Below are 21,783 nucleotides of genomic sequence, written 5' to 3'. Positions count from 1 at the left end.
AGCCCATTGTTGCTGTTTTTAAAATTAATTAACATCTTAAAATTCTCTCTCTTTTACTTTCTAACCCGGTAAGTATTAGTAGATATAACTCAAAAGCAAAAACTTTTGAGGATCTTCAATAATTTTTAACTATGTTGTGGGGCTCCTGAGACCAAAAAAATTGAAAGCTGCTTATCTAGTACATAGTATGTAGTCAATTATTTATTGAAGTAATTATTATATTTCTCATTCAATCACATCAATTGGTATGTTAGTCTAGGACAGTGAACAGCCAGAGTCCAGAGATAAGGTGAATGGTTGCAAGAGAAAAGGACAGAATAGTTCTTGGGAAAGAGAGAAATTTGAGAAAAAGACAAAGTTTTTTTCTCAATCTGGACAATCTATGACTGACCAGATTATGACAGAGAATTTTCTGGAACAACTCCCAGAGCCTCCTATTTTGTGACCCAGGCACAAAAATTGTTGACTCCCATTAATTCCTACCATTCCTTCTCTAGCTTCCACTTCTCAAAGCTAAAAATTGAAAATAGAGCAAGGAAACAAATGTCAAATGTCCAGAAGTTAAATGCCTGGAGAGAAAAGCTGATCGTACAATAAGACTTGCTAAGATTTATAATGACAGAATGTGAGAGCTGGAAGAAAAGTTGAAGGCCATCCACACATCCAATTGTCTCCTTTTGTAGAAAAGGATGCTAAGACTTAGATTGTGGAAGCCAACTAATCTCAAGTCATACAACCATACGGGTGGAAATGAAATTGTAGCCCTACATCTAGAATTCAAACCCAGAGCATTCCCCCCATACTTTCATGGTGTTGATAGTAAAGAGGTTACTTGTGGCTTCCTGTTCTGAGACTCTGGCTCCTAGTCCTGCCCCAAAATAAAGAGGATATGAATTTTCCATTTTAAGCTTATAATTTTAGACTGTCCACTTTTTCTGTAAATATGGACTCTTCTTCCTCCTTTTCTTATCACCACCTCTGTCCTAGGTAATTTCACTTGGAATGATTTACTGTCACAAAGATAGAACCTGTTAAACCCTCTTGAACTGAAATTCCTCTTTCTTCTTCCAGTCAAGGAGAAAAGTGGCTCTCATTGAACTGAAAATAGGGGGCCAGATGCAGTGGCTCACGCCTGTAATCCCAGCACTTTGGGAGGCCGAGGCAGGCAGATCACTTGAGGTCGGGAGTTTGAGACCAGCCTGGCCAATGTGGCGAAACCCCATCTTTATTAAAAATACAAAAAATGAGCTAGGTGTGGAGGTGCGCCCCTGTAATTCTCAGCTACTCAGGAGACTGAGGCAGGAGAATCACTTGAACCTGGGACGTGGAGGTTGCAGTGAGCCCAAATAGCACCACTGAACTCCAGCCTGGGTGACAGAGTAAGACTCCATCTCAAAAAAAAAAAAAGAAAGAAAATAGGACAGGGCCAGGCGCAGTGGCTCACACCTGTAATCCCAGCACTTCGGGAGGTCGAGGCGGGCAGATCACCTGAGGTCGGGAGTTCAAGACCAAACTGACCAACATGGAGAAACCCCGTCTCTACTAAAAATACAAAATTAGCCAGGGTGGTGGCGCATGCCTATAATCCCAGCTACTCAGGAGGCTGAGGCAGGAGAATTGCTTGAACCCTGGAGGCCCAGGTTGAGGTTAGCCGAGATCACGCCATTGCCCTCCAGCCTGGGCAACAAGAGCAAAACTCCGTCTCAAAAAGAAAAAAAAAAAAGGACAGAAAAGTGACTCCGTACACTTTAAGAAGGTGCAGTGGTCCAAGGACAGCAGGGGGGCAAACTAGTATATTCTCCATAAGACTATCACCAGCCACTCCACAAGTTTTTTTCCTGTCTCACTTGTTTTATTTTCTTTCTGTCTCAATTGGAAATACACAGACAGAAAGCTTTCTTTCTGTCTCACTTGGAAATATATAGAGGTACAGGAAAAGGTAAGACATGTTTTTCTTCCATGTGTTTCCTCAGCTTTCATTTAGAAAACTTTTATTTATTTTGCATAAACATTACATTCACTTTATTCCAAATTCAACATGTACAAAAGCTTACACTAAGAAAAGTATTCCTCTTTTCCTTTCCCCACCCTCCTACTTTCCTCCTTAGAAGCAACCACCATGATCCATTTCTTCAGCAATATTTTCTGCAGAAACAATAGCTTTCATTTTGAAAGTCATTTATGCCATCCCATGCCCACAGAGAATTCAGCCCACTTATTTTTAGAATATATCTCTGGAGAATCATTCCTTTTTATAACATTTTACTGAAAATCTCTGCCCACCTGTTGATTAGAGTATTGCAAACAGACAACAGTTGTTCATGCTCACTTACCCCAAGAGTTATCATCCCTGCTCCAGCAGTGCACCTGGGAATCGCCTGAAAGGAAAGTTCTAGGATACACACACACTTATCCAATGGCCCCAGTTCTCCCCTTCTATACTCTCTCCTAGGCTCTCATCCTATTTTCAACCCCCTCAACTACTGAACTGCATTTAGCATTGTTTATCCCCAGGCTGTTTGGGTTTGACATTTGGCAAGGTTTTTCCAGCAAAGACCTTGACAACTCTCATCAATAGTTCCGATTTTTCACTCTCGATGTTGCCTTAGTTTACCCCCAATAACGTCCCCCATTGCTTCATTTCCCCTGCAAACATCTTACTTTAGTACCTCATCTCTCTCCTGAATCATTATAACAATCTAATTTGTCATCGCCATCACTGTCCTCTCCTCTTTTCAGCCAGCCATCTGATTTCTAACTCAGAAATCTTTTACTATTCCTAGTTCAAAATAGTTTGGTGGGAAAAATGGAAGCTCTTTACCTGGGCATCTGTAGATATTTATAACTCTTCCATTGCCTGCCTCTCTACCCTCTTCTCATACTATTCTTTTTTTTTTTTTTTTTTTTTTTGAGATGGAGCTGTGCTCTTGTTGCCCCAGGCTGGAGTGCAATGGCACAACCTCAGCTCACTGCAACCTCCTCCTGCTGGGTTCAAGCGATTCTCCTGCCTCAGCCTCCCAAGTAGCTGGGATTACAGGCACCGGCCACCGCGCCCAGCTAATTTTTTGTATGTTTAGTAAAGATGGGGTTTCACCATGTTGGCCATGCTGGTCTTGAACTCCTGACCTCAGGTGATCTGCCCATCTTGGACTCCCAAAGTGCTGGGATTACAGGCATGAGCCATTGCACCCTGGCCTTTTTTTTTTTTTTTTTAAGACAGAGTCTCGCCCTGCCACCCAGGCTGGAGTGCAGTGGCGCGATCTCGGCTCACTGCAACCTCTGCCTTTTGGGTTCGGGCAGTTCTCCTGCCTCAGCTTCCCGAGTAGCTGGGACTACAGGCGTGTGCCACCACACCAGCTAATTTTTGTATTTTTAGTAGAGATAGGGTTTCACTATGTTGGCCAGGCTGGTCTCAAACTCCTGACCTCAGGTGATCTGCCCACCTAGGCCTCTCAAAGTGCTGGGATTACAGGTGTGAGCCACCACACCTGGCCTCATACTAGTCTTATGTCAGAATTTTTTATTTTAGTGATATTGAGCTGCCTGAATTCCCTGAGTGTGCCGTGCTGTTTAACTCCTCATGTTTTTGTACCTGCTGACTGCCTGGAATATTCTTTCACTCTTTGTTTAACTGAAAAATTCCTATTTATCCTTTAAAACAGAACTCAGACCTTATTTCCTCTATCATACCTTATGTTTGTACCTTTTACAACCTCTACTAAAACTGAGTTGAAATTACCGGTTTATATGTCTCTCTTCCCTATTAGAGCTGACACTTGGGGATATGAAGATGAAGGCAGGAACATGTTTTCCATATTCATCTTCTTACTCTCAGTTCTAACAGAGTCTGTATTTATTTCCATGGAAAGATATTCATGATACATCGATGTAAGTGAAGAAAACAGGTTATAAAACAGTATAATATATGTATGGTTTGAGCTCATCTTTGCCACAAATATATGTCAATGTCACACATCACAATTTGTAAATATAAAAGTATTTGCCTTATTTATTTAATGTGTTTCTCCCTCACTAGGCTGAATGCTCTTTGAGGGCAGGGATCAGGTGTTCACTGCTGTTTATGCAGTGCCTGGCACAATGGCTGGCAATTAATAAGCATTTATACATTTGTTAGAAGGGAGAATGTGCATCGAAAAATAACTGGAAGCATGAATACCCAAACCTTAAAGATGGTTGCCTCAGATAATAGAATTATGGTTACTGTGTATTTTTTCTTTATATTTTTCTGTATTTATTGAAGTTTTAGAAATGATAATATATTACTTTCATAATCATAAGAAAAATTAAAACTGCTTTAGGAGGGATGGAAAGAAGGAATTCAGAGGCCCATTAGGCTCTAGTTACTACTTCCTCAGTCACAGTAGATGATATATGGATTTGCCTCAGACACAGGACCTGTGGGGAGCTAGGAGTGCCAGAGATTAAAATAGAACCAGAGGAAGAATTATGAGGAGAGAGGTGCTAGTAGGACACCTGATTAGTGGGTCCCTTCAGCAAGAATCTTCAAAGGCCTCCCATCACTTACAGAACAAAATCCAATCTTTTTTTTTTTTTTTTTGATAGAGTCTTGCTCTGTCGCCTAGGCTGGAGTGCAGTGGCACAATCTCAGCTCACTGCAAGCTCTGCCTCCCAGGTTCATGCCGTTCTCCTGCCTCAGCCTCCTGAGTAGCTGGGACTACAGGCGCCTGCCACCACACCCGGCTAATTTTTTGTATTTTTTTGTAGAGACAGGGTTTCACCGTGTTAGCCAGGATGGTCTCAATCTCCTGACCTCGTGATCCGCCCGCCTCGGCCTCCCAAAGTGCTGGGATTACAGGCGTGAGCCACTGCGCCCGGCCTAACAAAATCCAATCTTATCAGCAGAACCACAGAGGTAGCCATTAACAAGCTTAGGTGCCTCCCCTTTCTCCTCTCCCTCCACCACCCTCCTATTTGAGCCTCTAGAAATACTGAACTACTTGTGCTTTCCAGAATACTCCCATTCTCGGGTCTCTTCATTTTCCTTCAAACTCATTCTCTCTTTGACTCCATGTATCCAGGTCACACTGATGCAAGAGGTGGGTTCCCATGGTCTTGGGCAGCTTTGCCCCTGTGGCTTTGCAGAGTATAGCCCACCTCCTAGCTGCCTTCATGGACTGGCATTGAGTGTCTGTGAATTTTCCAGGTGCACGGTACAAGCTGTAGGTGGATCTACCATTCTGGGGTCTGGAAGATGGTGGCCCTCTTCTCACAGCTCAACTAGGCAGTGGCCCAGTAGGGACTCTGTGTGGGGCCTCCAATCCCACATTTCCCGTCTCCACTGCACTAGCAGTTCTCTATGAGAGCCCTGCCTCTGCAGCAAACTTCTGCCTGGACATCCAGGTGTTTCCATATATCCTCTGAAATCTAGACAGAGGTTCCCAAACTTCAATTCTTGAAGTTTGTGCAGATGCAGTTCTGTGCATCTGCAGGCTCAAAACCACGTGGAAGCTGCCAAGGCTTGGGGCTATGCAGCAGACTTCTGCCTGGACATCCAGGTGTTTCCATACATCCTCTGAAATCTAGGCGGAGGTTCCCAAACTTCAATTCTTGACTTCTGTGCATCTGCAGGCTGAAAACTACGTGGATGCTGCCAATGCTTGGGGCTTGCACCCACTGAAGCCATGGCCTGAGCTGTACCTTGGCCCCTTTTAGTCATGGCTGGAGCAGCTAGGATTCAGGGCACCAAGTCCCTAGACTGCACACAGCACAGGGACCCTGGTCCTAGCCCACTAAACCATTTTTTCTTCCTAGACCTCCAGGCCTGTGATGGGAGGGCCTGCTGTGAAGACCTCTGACATGCCCTGGAGACATTTTCCCCATTGTGTTGGGTATTAACATTTGGCTTCTCGTTACTTATGCAAATTTCTGCAACCAGCCTGAACTCCTCAGAAAATGATATTTTCTTTTCTATCGCATTGTCAGGCTGCAAATTTTCCAAACCTTTATGCTCTGCTTCCCTTATGAAACTGAATGCCTTTAACAGCATCCATGTCACCTCTTGGATGCTTTGCTGCTTAGAAATTTCTTCCACCAGATACCCTAAATCATTTCTCTCAAGTTGAAAGTTCCACAAATCTCTAGGGCAGGGGCAAAATGCCACCATTCTCTTTGCTAAAACATAACAAAAGTTACCTTTGCTCCAGTTCCCAACAAGTTCCTCATCTCTATCTGAGACCACCTCAGCCTGGACCTCATTGTTCATACCATTATCAGCATTTTTGTCAAAGCCATGCAACAAGTCTCTAGGAAGTTACAAACTTTCTCATATTTTCCTGTCTTCTTCTGAGCCCTCCAGACTGTTCCAACCTCTTCCTGTTACCCAATTCCAAAGTTGCTTCCAGATTTTCAGATATCTTTTCAGTGGCACCCCACTTTTGGCACCAATTTACTGTATTCATCTGTTTTCACACTGCTGATAAAGACATACCCGAGACTGGGCAATTTACAAATGAAAGAAGTTTAACTGGACTTACAGTTACACATGGGTAGGGATGCCTTGCAGTCATGGGAGAAGGCAAGGAGGAGCAAGTTACATCTTACATGGTTGGAGGCAGGCAAAAAGAGCTTATGCAGGAAAACTCCCCCTTATAGTTAACCATTAGATCTCATGAGACTTACTCACTATCACAGAACAGCACAGGAAAGACCTGTCCCCCATGATTCAATTACCTCCCACTGGGTCCCTCCCACAACACATGGGAATTCAAGATGAGATTTGGGTGGGGACACAGCCAAACTGTATCATTATTCATTTATGCAACTTTTATTGATCTACTACAATGTGTCAGGCATTGAACCATGCTAGAGATACAAGATAGACACAACTCCCTTCCTGGAGTTTATTTATTTATTCATTTATTTGGGGCGGAGTCTCACTCTGTCGCCCAGGCTGGAGTGCAGTAGTGTGATCTTGGCTCACTGCAACCTCCATCTCCTGGGTTCAAGCGATTCTCCTGCCTCAGCCTCCAAAGTAGCTGGGACTACAGGTGCGTGCTACCTGGCTAATTTTTTTTTTTTTTTTTTTTTTTGAGATGGAGTTTTGCTCTTGTCACCCAGGCTGGAGTGCAATGGCGTGATCTTGGCTCACTGCAACCTCTGCCTCCGGGTTCAAGTGATTCTCCTGCCTCAGCCTCCCGAGTAGCTGGGATTACAGGCGCCCAACACCACACCCAGCCAATTTTTGTATTTTTAGTAGAGATTGGGTTTCACCATGGTGGCCAGGATGGTCTTGGACTCCTGACCTCAGGTGATCCACCTGTCTCAGCCTCCCAAAGTACTGGGATTATAGGCATGAGCCACCACACCCAGCCCAGTCCTGGAGTTTTTAGTCCCATGGATAAAATAGGTACTAAATAAATATTGTAGCCCAATCAGCTTTCAGGGACAAATCTATAAACAAGTTTATTGACTCATGGCAATGACAGAGACCACTTACCAGAGGAACTGTGGAGCATCTGACTAGACAAAGGAAAAGATGGAATTATTATAGGATTGTGGGGGAAGAGTAGAGTTTAGGTGAAATTTAAACGAAGCAGTGTTTTCACAAGGTCAAAGCAAAGCAGAGCTGTGTGTAAATGAGTCAACATAAGGCCTGGACTGCTGAGAGGGACCCAGCAGACCTGCATTAAAAAAAATATTAAAGAGAATTCTTTAGGCTAATAGGAAATAACACCAGATGGTAACTCAAATTATACAAAGAAATGCATAACACAGCAATTATTAAACATATGAGTAAATATAAAGGACTGTATCCATATATTTTCTCTTCTAAGAACTTTGAAACAGAATATTATGTGAACTAATATTATAAAACAATAAATAGCTTTATAACATATATAGATGTAATGTGTATGACAATAGTAAAACAAAGAAGAAGGTGTAAGTGGAACTATATTAGAGCAAAGTTTCTATGTTTTACTAGAGTTATTACTCTGAAATAGATTTTGATAAATCAAGATGCATATTTTAATTCTTAGAGTGGCCACTTAGAAAATAACTTAAAAAATAGTAAAAAATTAACAAATTAAAATGGGATATAAAAATATCTATTAAACATAAAAAACAGTAAAGGAAGAACAGAAGAACAAAAAAGACAAACAGCATATAGAGAACAAATAGCAAAATGGCAGACATTAATTCAACCTTATTGATAAATTGTATTAAATCTGAATGGGGGTTGGGCACAGTAGCTCATGCCTGTAAATCCAGTGCTTTGGGAGGCCAAGGCAGGAGGATCACTTGTGGCCAGGAGTTCAAGACCCATCCTAGGAAAAATAGCAAGACCCTGTCTCTACAAAATAAAATAAAAAATTAGCCAGGCATGGTGATGTGCACCTGTAGTCCTAGCTACTTGGGAGGCTGAGGCAGGAGGATCCCTTGAGTACAGGATTTCAAGGTTGCAGTGAGCTATGATTGTGCCACTGCACTCTACTCTGGGTGACAATGTGAGACCCTGTCTCTAAAATTAAAAAAAAATTCTGAATGGGTTATTTCCCTCATTCTGTTAATGTGGTACATTACATTGGTTGATTTTCATTTGTGGAACCATCCTTGCATTCCAGAAATAAATCCCACTTGGTCATGGTGTATAACCCTTTTAATGAATTCTATTTGCCTGCACTATTTTGAGGATTTTTTTAAATTAATCAGTATTCATCAGGGATATTGGACTGTGGTTTTCTTTTCTTGTAGTGTCTGTCTGATTTTGGTATCAGGATAATGTTAGCGTCTTAAAATGAGTTTGGAAGTGTTCCTTCCTCTTCATTTTTTGGAGGAGTTTTAGGAGGTTTGAGAGTTTGGTATTCATTCTTCTTTAACTTTTTTTTTTTTTCTTCAGAGACCGGATCTCACTACGTTGCCCAGGATGGTCTTGAACTCCTGGACTCAAGCAAGCCTCTTGCCTCGGCCTCCTAAAAAGCTGGGATGACAGGCATGAGTCACCGTGCCCAGTCTTCATTCTTTAAATATTTGGTAGAATTCATCAGTGAAGCCATCTCATCCGGGGCTTTTCTTTGTTGACAGATTTTTTATTACTGATTCAATCTCATTCTAACTATAGGTTTGTTCACATTTTCTTTTACTTTATGATTCAGTCTTGATAAATTGTATTTTTCTAGGAATTTATCCATTTCTTCTAGGTTATCCAATTTGTTAGTGTACAGTTGTTCATAGTATTCTCTTATCCTATTTATTTCTGTGACTTTGATTGTAATGTTCTGATTTTGGTTATTTGAGTATTTCTTTTTTTCTTAATTTAGCTACAGGTTGTCAATGCAGTTACACTTTTTGAAAAACAAATTTTGGTTTCATTGATTTCTCTGTTGTGTTTCTATTCTATATTGCACTTATCTCTGCACAAATCTTTAGTTTGCTCTTTTTTTTTTTTTTTTGAGACGAAGTCTTGCTCTGTCACTCAGGCTGGAGTGCAGTGGCACAATCTTGGCTCACTGCAAGCTCCACCTCCCGAGTTCACGCCATTCTCCTGCCTCAGCCTCCCGAGTAGCTGGGAATACAGGCGCCTGCCACCACACCAGGCTAATTTTTGTATTTTTAGTAGAGACGGGGTTTCACCTTGTTAGCCAGGATGTTCTCGATTTCCTGACCTTGTGATCCACCTGCCTTGGCCTCCCAAAGTGCTGGGATTACAGGCGTGAGCCACCGCGCCTGGACTGCTCTTCTTTTTCTAGTTCCCTAATGTGTACAATTAGGTTGAAAACTATTCCACTTTTTTTTCTGAGACGGAGTCTTGCTCTTTCACCCAATCTAGAGTGCAGTGATGTGATCTTGGCTCACTGCAACCTCCGCCTCCCAGGTTCAAGCGATTCTTCTGCCTCAGCCTCCCGAGTAGCTGGGATTACAGGTGCCCACTACCACACCTGGCTAGTTTTTGTATTTTTTAGTAGAGACGGGGTTTTGCCATCTTGGCCAGGCTGGTCTCAAACTCCTGACCTCATGATACACTCGCCTCGGCCTCCCAAAGTGCTAGGATTACATAGGATTACAGGCGTGAGCCACTGCGCCCGGCGTGTTTTTTGTTTTTTTTTTTTTTTTTTTTGGAGACAGAGGTTCCTTTCATTGCCCAGGCTGGAGTGCAGTAGCATGATCTCAACTTACTGCAACCTCTCCACTTACCAGGTTCAAGTGATTCTTGTGCCTCAGCCACTCGAGTAGCTGGGGTTACAGGTATGCGCCACCAATCCTGGCTTACTTTTGTATTTTTAGTAGACAGGGGGGTTTCACCATGTTGGCCAGGCTGGTCTCAAACTCCTGACCTCAAGTGATCGCCCACCTTGACCTCCCAAAGTGCTGAGATTACAGGCTTGAGCCACCGCATCTGGCCTATTCCACTTTTTTAATGAATGTGTTTACAGCTATTAATTTCTCTCAGCACTGTTTTGCTGCATCTCATATGTTTTGGTATGCTGTGTTTGTATTTTCATAAATCTTAAGGTATTTTCCAGTTTCCCTTGTATTCCTTCTTTGACCTATTGTTGTTGTTTAAAAGTGTGTGGTTTAATTTCTACATATTTGTGAGTTTTCCAGTTTTCCTTCTGTTATTGATTTCTAGTTTCATTCCATTGTGGTCAGAAAATATATTTTGTATTTCAGTCTTTTTAAATGTGTTAGTGTTTGTGTTGTGGCCTAACATACAGTCTGTCCTGTAGAATGTTCCACATATACTTGAGAAGAATGTGTACTCTGCTGCTGTTGGGCAGAGTGTGCATATGTCTGTTAAGTATAATTGGTTTATAGATTGTACAAGTCCTCAATTTCCTATTAATCTTCTCTCTGGTTTCTAACCATTTTTGAAAGCGTGTATTGAAATCTCCAGGTATTCTTGAATCACTCTTTTTCCCTTCAGTTCTGTTTTGGTTTTTAGGGTTTTTGGGGGGTTTTTTTGAGACACAGTCTCACTCTGTCACCCAGGCTGGAGTGCAGTGGCGTGATCTTGGCTCATTGCAACTTCTGCCTCCCCGGTTCAGGCGATTCTCCTGCCCCAGCCTCCCCAGCTGGGATTACAGGCGCATACCACCACACCCAGCTAATTTTTGTATTTTCAGTAGAGACAGAGTTTTATCATGTTGGCCAGACTGGTCTCGAACTCCTGACCTCAAGTGATCCACCCACCTTAGCCTCCCAAAGTGCTGGGATTCCAGGCATGTCCCACCGCGCCCAGCAATTCTGTTGTGTTGGTTTTTTTTTTTTTTTTTTTTTTTTGCTTTTTTTGTTAGATGAAAGATGTAAGTGAATGGATAGACACTGCATGTTCATGGATCGAAAAGACTCAGTATTGCTAAGATTATAATTCTCCCCAAAATGTTCTTAGATTCTACGCAATCTCTATCAAAGCTGTAGCAGTTGGCTAGATGCAGTGGTCCACACCTATAATCCTAGCCTTTTATCGGGCCAAGGTAGGAGGATAATTTAAAGCTGGGAGTTTGAGACCAACCTGGACAACACAGTGAGAGACCCCTATCTCTACAAAAATAAAAATAAAACAACTAGCTGGGCACGGTGGTGCGTGCTTGTACTCCTAGCTACTCTGGAGGCTAAGGCGGAGGATCACTTGAAGCCAGGAGTTCAGGGTTACTGTGAGTTATGATCATGCCACAGCACTCCAGCCTGGATGACAGAGTGAGACCATATCTCTAAAACAAACAAGCAAAAAACTGCAGCAGGCTTTTTGGCAAAAATGAAAAATGAATCAGCTGGTCCTAAATTTTATATGTAATATCCAGGAACATTTTGAAAAAGAAGAACAAAGCTGGAAGACTTACAATACCCAGTTTCAAAACTTACTATAAACAGATAGTAATCAAGACAATGTAGTATTGGTGTAAAGATAGACATGTATAAAACTGAGAGTTCAGAAATTATGGTCCATTGATTTTTGATGAAGTAGCCAAGACATTTCAATGGAGAAAGGACCATCTTTTCAACAAATAGTATTGGGACAATTGAATATCCATATGCAAAAAAGTGAACCTAGGCTCTTACTTCACATTATATACAAAATGGAACTCAAAATGGATCTCAGACCTACATGTGAGAAGTAAAACTACAAAAGTTCTAAAAGAAAACACAGGAGAGGCCAGGCGCAGTGGTCACGCCTGTAATCCCAGCACTTTGGGAGGCCAAGGTGGGCAGATCATGAGGTCAGGAGATCAAGACCATCCTGGCTAACATGGTGAAACCCCGTCTCTACTAAAAATACAAAAAATTAGCCAGGTGTGGTGGCGGGCGCCTGTAGTCCCAGCTACTCAGGAGGCTGAGGCAGGAGAATGGTGTGACCCTGGGAGGCAGAGCTTGCAGAGAGCTGAGATCGTGCCACTGCACTCCAGCCTGGGCGCGACAGAGCGAGACTCTGTCTCAAAAAAAAAAAAAGAAAAATAGAGTTTCATATTAAAAAAGAAAACACAGGAGAAAATCTTTATGACCTTGGGCTAGGCAGAGTTCTTAAATATGACATCAAAAGCACAGTTCACAAAAATAGCTGACAAATTGGATTTTATCAAAATTAAAACTTTTGGGTTTAAAAGACATCCATAATAAATTGAAAAGATGTAGACTGAAAGAAAATATTTATAACTGATGTATGTGATAAAGGGCTTATATCCAAAATATACAAAGAACTCATAACTTAGTAATAAGAAGACTAATAATCTAATTTTAAAATGAAGTAAACATTTGAATAGACATTTCACCAAAGAGGATATGTAAATGGCTAATAATCACTTGATAAAATGCGCAACATCATTAGTCATGAGGGAAGTGCAAGTCAAAACCACAATAAGATAGCATTAACACACCCACTAAGCTATAACCAAAAAGTCAGACAATACCTAGTGATGGAGGAGTTATGGGAAAACCTTCACATATTGCTGATGAGAATATAAAATAGAACAGCCACATTGTGAAATTGTTTGGCAGTTTCTTAAAAAGCTAAATAGATTTGCCATACAACTCAGCGATTCTACTAAGTATCTACCCAAGAGAAATGAAAACATATATTCATGCAAACACTTGTATAGAAATGTTCATAGCAACATCATTCATAATAGCCAAAAACTGGAGACAACCCAAATGTTCATCAACTGATGAATGAATAAACAAAATGTAGTTTATCTATATACAATGGACTATTATTCAGCCATAAAAAGGAATGAAGTACTGACACATGCTACAACATGGGTGAACTTTGAAAACATTATGCTAAGTGAAAGAAGCCAGTCACAAAAAACTGTATAGTGTATGATTTCATTTATATGAAATGACCAGGAAAGGAAAATTTTTAGAGACAGAAAGCAGATCAGTAGTTGTCTGAAACTGAAGGTAACAAGTGAGGATTGACTGCAAATTCTCTTTTTGTTTGTTTGTTTTGTTTCTTTTTTTTTTGACTGCACATTCTCACAAGTAATTTTCTGGGTGTTAGAAATGTTCTAAAACTGGATTGTGACAGTGGTTGCACAAAGCTATCAATTTACTAAAAATTATTCACTGTACACTTATAATGGGTGAAGTCTTATGGTACATAAAATATATTTCAATAAAACTAAGAAAAAGTCTCATGAATTTCAGAAATGCTAATTTATTATTGATTGACAGCTTGCTACAGGATCTTTCTGGGGCTTAGTGACTAGAGATGCATGCAGAATTAGAAAGATAAAATAATTTGTTTAGAAAAATTAGTAGATTGAGAAGGGTTTGGTGGTGGTCAGAGAAAAACCTTGGGAATGGCAAAAAGTTAGGAAACTCTCCAGGCTGAGAAAGGCCTAGAAAAAGAGACACTGGGTGGTGTTCTGGGGACTGCAGCAGTGGGGATTTAGGCAACTTTGTATACAGTTCCACTCTCATGCCCAAGGGGGCGCCAGAGCAGCAAGCCTCAGTCGTGACTGTGGACGTTCCTAGCCCCTAATGCTGGGTCACGGTACTGCGTTCATTCAAAACCTGACCCAGGTTTTTTAGAGACGAGGACTCTCCATTTTGTTTTATTATCTTTCTTGAGAGGCGGAGGGAATTTGCCTGAAGGTGGATTCCTTTTTTTTTTTTTTTTTTTGAGACGGAGTCTCACTCTGTCGCCAGGCTAGAGTGCTGTGGCGCAATCTCGGCTCACTGCAACCTCCAACTCCCTGGTTCAAGGGATTCTCCTGCCTCCACCTCCCAAGTAGCTGGGATTACAAGCATGCGCCACCATGCCCGGCTAATTTTTGTATTTTTAGTAGAGATGCGGTTTCACTGTGTTGGCCAGGATGGTCTCGATCTCCTGACCTCGTGATCCGCCCGCTTCGGCCTCCCAAAGTGCTGGGATTACAGGCATGAGCCACCACGCCCGGCCGGTGGCTTCCTTTTAAGTCTGAAAATGCAGCAGGAAGAGCCAAGTGAGGCCCTGTGACTCTCTATGGAGAGAGGCAGTGGTTACAGCCCAAAGAGCCCTAAGAAGAGCTTTTTCAGAATGACACATACTAGTTTCTTCCCCTCCTTTCATGACTCAGGTCCACATTTCACACAGACTTTTGCCTGTGCCAGACTTGCCTCTGCCTTGACCGCTAGCCAGCAGACTGTGTCCACAGTGTTTTCCCGCTCCTGCTACCCGGTCTGAATCAGCCTGGTAAAAACATTAGCTGGAAGATATCTGTTTACTGGGTAAATTCCTCTACAACAAATACCTTTGCAATGAAAATCTCTATTTAACCAAAAGTTCTCCACAGCCCAGTTTATGTCTAACCTAGTGCAAGCAGTAATCCATGAAATAAAACTCTACTCCATACCACATATTTAGACAGTCAAGTTGAGCTACTTGTAAAGAGATTTGACCTGTAATACTTTTATTTTCCCCGAGGAGCTGGAAATATAAGTAGAGGTAAAAACAGAGTCCCCTTTGCACTTGGAGAGTATTTTCCCACATGCACTCATTTTAAAAATCCAGTTCCCAGGAAATCTTTGTAAGGACTTTTCTCAATAGTCTACCAGATCCAGGACAAGGAAGAAAGATAGGCTCCAGATTGGATAAGCAGAGACCTTCCCAGAAGGAAACAATGGGAATTTAATATTCAAGCAGGCCCTGATCCAGAGCATTATGGGAACTGACCAAGGGATCAAAAATGAATCAAGTTAAAAAGAAACTAAATAACATTCCAAAGAAGTGATAGTACTGTTGAAGCCTGAGGCTATACTCCACCGCGCCCAGCCCTGTACTAATATACTAACGAGAATCAAAACTTCAAAAACTACGTAGATCATATGACAGAATTAATTGCATCAGTAGTCCTTCTATACTGCTAAGAGCAAGGTGTTACATACAGATGATGCTCCTTGATTTACAGTAGGGTTACATCCCAAAAAACTCATCATAAGTTGAAAATATCATAAGCGGAAAATGTATTTAATACACCTAGCCTACTGAACATCATAGACTAGCCTACCTTAAAAGTCTCAGATCACTTATGTTAGCCTAGAGTTATTTTATATTAAGGCGTTGAATATCTCATGCAATTTATTGAATACTGTACTGAAAGTAAAACAAAATGGTTGTATGGGTGCTCAAGGTATGGTTTCTACTGAATGCATATCACTTTGCACCTGGTAGAGTCGAAAAATTTTAAGTTGGGGACCATCTGTACTGCTAAGAGCAGTGTTGTTGGGGAAGCCATTTTCTCCCTCTCCCAGGTCCATAAAATAGAAACTTCCACTTCAGAAGAATTGTGAAGACAGCATTTAGCTTCCTGCTATTTCCCCTCTCAGTTCTCCCCAAGGAAGGAGTGACTCATCTGACTGAACCACTGAGGAAGGAACTGAGCATGCTCAGCCCTTTTTGCAACCTTCTTGGACTAGCCTGCCCACTAGACAGGTGCATCCTCCCACCAACCCCACCGCTGAAGCATGTGCACCTCCCCACACACATACACTCCTGCCTCCCCAAAAAGTTCAGGAGTCAAGTACAGTCATGTATCACTTAAAGACAGGGATACGTTATGAGAAATATGTAATTAGGTCAGTGATTCCCAACCCCTTTGGCACCAGGGGAGGACCAGTTTTGTGGAAGACAATTTTTCCACAGACTGGAAGGGTGAGGTATGGTTTTGGGATGAAACTTCCACCACAGATCATCAGGTATTAGATTCTCATAAAGAGCATGCAACCTAGATCCTTCACATGTGCAGTTCACAATAGGGTTTGCACTGTTATAACAATCTAATGCTGCTACTGATCTGACAGGAGGTGGAGCCCAGGCAGTAATGCCCGCCTCCTGCTCACCGCCATTGCCATCACCTCCTGCTGTGTGACCTGGTTCCTAACAGGCCAGGGACCGGTACCTGGAACCGGGTGATTCTTTGTTGTGCAAACATCATAGAGCACACTTAAATAAATCTAGCTGCTGGCCAGGCGCAGTGGCTCACGCCTGTAATCCCAACACTTTGGGAGGCCGAGGCGGGCAGATCACGAGGTCAGGAGATCGAGACCATCCTGGCTAGCACGGTGAAACCCCGTCTCTACTAAAAATACAAAAATCAGCCGGATGTGGTGGTGGGCGCCTTTAGTCCCAGCTACTCGGGAGGCTGAGGCAGGAGAATGGCGTGAACCCGGGAGGCTGAGGTTGCAGTGAGCCGAGATTGTGCCACTGCACTCCAGCCTGGTCGACAGAGTGAGACTCTATCTCAAAAAAAATAAAATAAAATAAAATAAAAATAAAATAAATCTAGATGCTTACTACACACCTGGGCTATGTGATATATCTTATTGCTCTTAGGCTACAAACCTATACAACATGTTACTGTACTGAATACTCTAGGGAATTGTAACACAATAGTGTCTGTGTATATAAACATATCTAAACATAGGAAAGGTACAGTAAAAATACAGTATTATAATCTTAAGGGACCACTGTCATATATGTGTTCATCATTAATTAAAGAGTCCTTGGCCGGGGGCAGTGGCTCATGCCTGTAATCCCAGCACTTTGGGAGGCCAAGGCTGGCAGATCACCTGAGGTCAAGAGTTTGAGACCAGCCTGACCAACATGGAGAAACCCCATCTGTACTAAAAATACAAAATTATCCGGGCGTGGTGGCACATGCCTATAATCCCAGCTACTAGGGATGCTGAGGCAGGAGAATCGCTTGAACCTGGGAGGTGGAGGTTGCGGTGAGCCGAGATCGTGCCATTGCACTCCAGCCTGGGCAACAAGAGTGAAACTCCGTCTCAAAAAAAAAAAAAAAAAAAAAAAAAGAGTCCTTATGCAGTGCATGACTGTATTAGGAAGTCTGATTGTGAGACCTGACCGGCAGCTTGTCTACTCTGTCCTCACCCTCATTAAAGCTGATGCTTTTATTTCCGTCTGTCTGATTTTTGTGTCTGTTTCTCAAAAGGAATTCAGATGGGTAACAGCTGTTATTTATTTGTCTCTCCAAGGCCCCCAAATCAAGACTAAGTAGCCCTGCCACTGAAAAGGTTGAAAATCAGTGAAAAATGCAAATAAATGACTCTAGTAGAAGACTAAATTCATTGTATGCCCTTGAGCAAGGGTTGAGCTCCTCAGTCAAAGAAGAGAGTCACCTTTTCCAGAAGAGAATGCAGCTCAAGGGGAATGCAGGTGGGGCAGTGAAGGAGAAAGAGATTCCTAGAAGCCTCGAGTGGGGGAACCAGCATCACTACCAGATTCCCTCATGTCTGCAGTGTGAAGTGGTGGCAAGAGCCCCCCACATTGGGACCCAGAAAACCTGTGATAAAATCCAAGCTGTTTTCAGATGTGTAGCCTTTACCATTTTGAGCCTCAGTTTTCTTATTTCTAAGTAAGCATAAATATCTTCCTGCCTACCCTATAGGGTTACTGTGAAATTACATTTATATCATGTATATGAATGTTCATGTATATACTGGAAAGCAAAATAAAAATATAAAATAGCATGAAAAAAGTAGTGAGGAGAAGGTACTTGATATTTTGTGATAGAAGTGCTGGATATTTCCCATTTGCTCACCCAACTCTACTTTCTACTCTGATCCATATCCTAAAGGCTGAATTGTCTGAATTGCATCACTGGGTTCCCTTGCCTTTCGGCTGCTGGTTGAGTTTAAAAAGGAGCAACAGAAGGAATTGGATAGGGGTAGATTTTGATGATTAGATTCTCTTGGTACGTCCCTGCTGGATCTCCCATGTTGGCTGCATCTCTCTGTGGAGGGCACAGCTTGTGTCAAATTGCCAAACTGCCTTTTTTTTTTTTTTTTTTTGGCAATCACCCAGGCTGTAGTGCAGTGGCACAATCGTAGCTCACTGCAGCCTTGACCTTGTGAGTTCAAGCAATCCTCCCACTCTCAGCCTCCCGAGTAGCTGGGACTACAGGCATGTACCACCATGCCCAACTTCCTTAAGTAGAGACAAGGTCTTGCTATGTTGCCCAGGATGGTCTTGAACTCCTAAACTCAAACAATCCTCCTGCCTCAGCCTCCCACAGTGCTGGAACTACAGGCGTGAGCTACACCTCTGGCCCCAAATTGCCTTCTCCACACAGTTTTCTCTCCAGACCAGTAGCATTGCCATCATCAGGGAATTTATGCAAAATGCAAATATTTTAGTCCTACCCCAGACCTACTGAAGCAGAAACTCCAGGGTGAGGCTGAGTAATCTGTGTTGTAATAAGTCCTCCAGGTAATTCTGATGCATACTAAAGCTTGAAAACTGCTTGCTGTTGGAAGGGATTACTCCCTCTCATTTGCTCGCAGTAACTAACCCTAGAATACTGCCCAATTCCTTGCTGCTTCCCCAGAACTCTTTTACCTTTGTAAATAGTCCTTTTTATTATACTCTCCTCAAATTACTCATTTTCTTTTTCTTTTTTCTTTATTTTTTTAGGCTCTTTCTTTGAATTCTAAAAATTATTCATTTTAAATACGCCATCATTTCCTGTAGGACTCTGATGTTGAGATCTCAGAAATAAGACAAGTAACTGCTTTGTATTACACCTGCGTAAAGGACAGGCACACTGATCAAGGTGAAAGAAAAAATGTCTGTCAATGAGATACCTAAATAAGATTTAGTTTAAGATCATTGTGGGCTACACAGTCCCAAAATCTTTTAGGCCAAAGCTCACAGTGAGTCTCTGTGTTTCAGGAAATGTCTCCATTTGGTAAACTAAGAAATGATGTAACATCCTTGCAAGACATATGACTAAAATCTGAGGTTTCTGTGTGGGCTTTGGCTGTAATTTTGGTTTCTACCAAGGGCTTTAGTCTGAAGAGGAAAGCACTAAAATAAATTGCTACTTGCAAAAAGAAGCTGCTGGTATTTCTTTCCTTTGGCGAAGACCAAAGCTATAGTGAGCTAAATTCATATCATTTATTTTTCATCCAGTATAAAAGTTATATGGGCCAAGACATAACATTTGAGCAGCTGTAGAAGTTTAAAGGGTCAGTGTGACTTAAGTGTATAATGCCCAAGACAAAGAGACACTGTTTTAGGTGTTTGTTTCCTCAAGTCTCTTGTCATAGAGACTCCTCTTGTGTCCAGGGCATAAATAAATCCAAGGCAGAAATATTTAACAGAGGTTGGGAAGAAAGCCTAGAGTAGAAATTGAGACGCCCCGCCCCAGCAAGTCATTTCCTTTGGAAATATAAGGGTTAAGCAGCCTGGAGTCAGGCTAAGAAAGAGGCTTTGGGAAAATTTAGGCCAAAGTGTTAACTCAGGTTTTTCTCACCTTTGTGGATTGAGTCCATTGCTTTTGCCTACAAATGAATAAACTGTTCTTTTTTTTTTTTTTTTTTTTTTTTTGAGATGAAGTCTCGCTCTGTTGCCCAGGCTGGAGTGCAATGGCACAATCTCAGCTCACTGCAATTCCGCCTCCCAGGTTCAAGTGATTCTCCTGCCTCAGCTTCCCGATTAGCTGGGATTACAGGCACCTGCCACCATGCCTGGCTAATTTTTGTATTTTTAGTAGAGACAGGGTTTCACCATGCTGGCCAGGCTGGTTTCGAACTCCTGACCTCAGGCAATCCACCCGCCTCAGCCTCCCAAAGTGCTGGGATTATAGGCATGAGCCACCATGACCGGCCGAAGAAACTGGTTTTCAAAGCAGTATCTCTTGTTTCTGCCTCATGATTTATTTATTCAGTCAGTAAGAGCTGGACCCTGAAAAATGGTGAAGTTGGCTAAACTTATCTTCACATTTTTTCCTTAATCCATTAAAAAAAAATTTTTTTTAAAACAATTTCTCTCACCACACCACACACACACACACACACACACACACACACACACACCCCCAATACCTGGTGCTTTGAAGCCGTAACCTGTCTGTTCACGGCTACCACTTGAACCAGCATCCCAGATTTCCCCCTTTGAACTATTGTAGAGTACAGTCAGAATTTAAAGGAATAAGATCCTAACCCTCATGGTCTGTTACAGACATGATTATCTGATTAGCCCTGATGGGCAACGGCTTGATGCTAGAAATCCTCTCACCTAAGGCAGCCCAGTGGAGTGGACCAATCAGGAACCGAAGGCTTTATTAGCTGTGTGACCTTGGGCAAGTTACATAGATTCTTGGGGTTGAAAGGAACCAATGCTTTAATACATAACACCTCACTGAGGTGTAATCCATCTTCTATGTCATTTTCTTCTGAAAATAACTTCTACTACTTCTTCAGCACTTCCTATGGGCCAGGGCCTAGGCAAAGTATGTGCTATACATTATCACTAGTCCTGAAAGTAACCCAGCAAGTGGTTAGTACCAGTCGCATTTTACAGATGTAGAAAGTGAAACTCGATTGAGTGACATAATTCATCCAAGTAAGTGGCAGAGCCAGGATTCATACCCAATTACCTTTAGTCCCAAAGTTGAAGCTGTGTGATTTTCCTAAGAGATCCAATTCTTACCCTATAATTGAAGCATCATTTTTAATGAGCTAAATTCTGTCTTCCTCTAACTCTGGCTCATCACCCCTCTGGGTATGGTGAGCAAAGTTTGCTTCCTCTTCCACATGCCACTCCTTCAGATATTTGAAGACTACAAACTACTTCGACCACCCTGAAATTGTTCGACTTTTCTTCCTACAAATGTTTAAAGTCCCTTAACTGTCCTGGTGATTCCCCTTCACTTTGTCTCTGTCCCATTTAAAAAAAAAAGAAAAGAAAAAAACCTGAAGCTTAAGATACATACAGAAAACTGCACGAATTATAAATATACTGTGCAATTAACTTTTACACGTGAACACTACTTGGTCAAGAAACAGAAATATTACCAGAACCCTAGAAGTTTATGCTACTTTTTTATCTCTGCCTCCCCCAGAAGTAACCACCATCCTGACTTCTAACATGTGAATTATATCAATAGAATCACACAGTATGCACCATTTTGTATCTGGCTTCTTTTGCTCAACATTGTAAGAGTTATCCATGTCATATTGTGTGTAGCTATACTTGATTCATTCTCATTGCTTTCTGTGTACTTTTTTAAAAACTGGTAAAATAGACATAACATAAAGTTTACCATCTTAACTATTTTCAAGTGTACAGTTCAGTAGTATTGAGTATATTCACATTGCTCTATTACCATCACCACCATCCATCTCCAGAATTTTTTCATCTTCCCAAATCAAAACTCTATACTTTAAGCAATAACTCTCCATTTGCCTCTCCACTGAGCCCCTGGAAACCACATTTTACTTTCTGTCTCTATGAATTTGACTATTCTAGGTGCCTCATATGAATGTAATCATACAGTATTTTCTCTTTTGCAGCTGGCTTATTTT

The 21,783-nt window shown here is 41.8% G+C and overlaps 3 annotated features.

Annotated features, from left to right (window-relative positions):
• Positions 15,570–15,689: an enhancer, noted in NCBI's record as "active region_9400". NCBI's record gives its function as "activates an Ori minimal core promoter by ATAC-STARR-seq in GM12878 lymphoblastoid cells {active_cell/tissue: GM12878}" and the evidence as "EXISTENCE:reporter gene assay evidence [ECO:0000049][PMID:35858748]".
• Positions 17,618–17,787: a silencer, noted in NCBI's record as "fragment chr15:51174366-51174535 (GRCh37/hg19 assembly coordinates)". NCBI's record gives its function as "represses an EF-1alpha promoter that drives an FKBP-Casp9 reporter gene in an ReSE screen in K562 erythroleukemia cells {active_cell/tissue: K562}" and the evidence as "EXISTENCE:reporter gene assay evidence [ECO:0000049][PMID:32094911]".
• Positions 20,751–20,920: an enhancer, noted in NCBI's record as "active region_9399". NCBI's record gives its function as "activates an Ori minimal core promoter by ATAC-STARR-seq in GM12878 lymphoblastoid cells {active_cell/tissue: GM12878}" and the evidence as "EXISTENCE:reporter gene assay evidence [ECO:0000049][PMID:35858748]".

Source organism: Homo sapiens, chromosome 15, assembly GCF_000001405.40.
Source record: "Homo sapiens chromosome 15, GRCh38.p14 Primary Assembly".
NCBI lineage: Eukaryota > Metazoa > Chordata > Mammalia > Primates > Hominidae > Homo > Homo sapiens.
The sequence above is the reverse complement of the archived record's forward strand: the minus strand, read 5'-3'. Positions and strand labels throughout refer to the sequence as shown.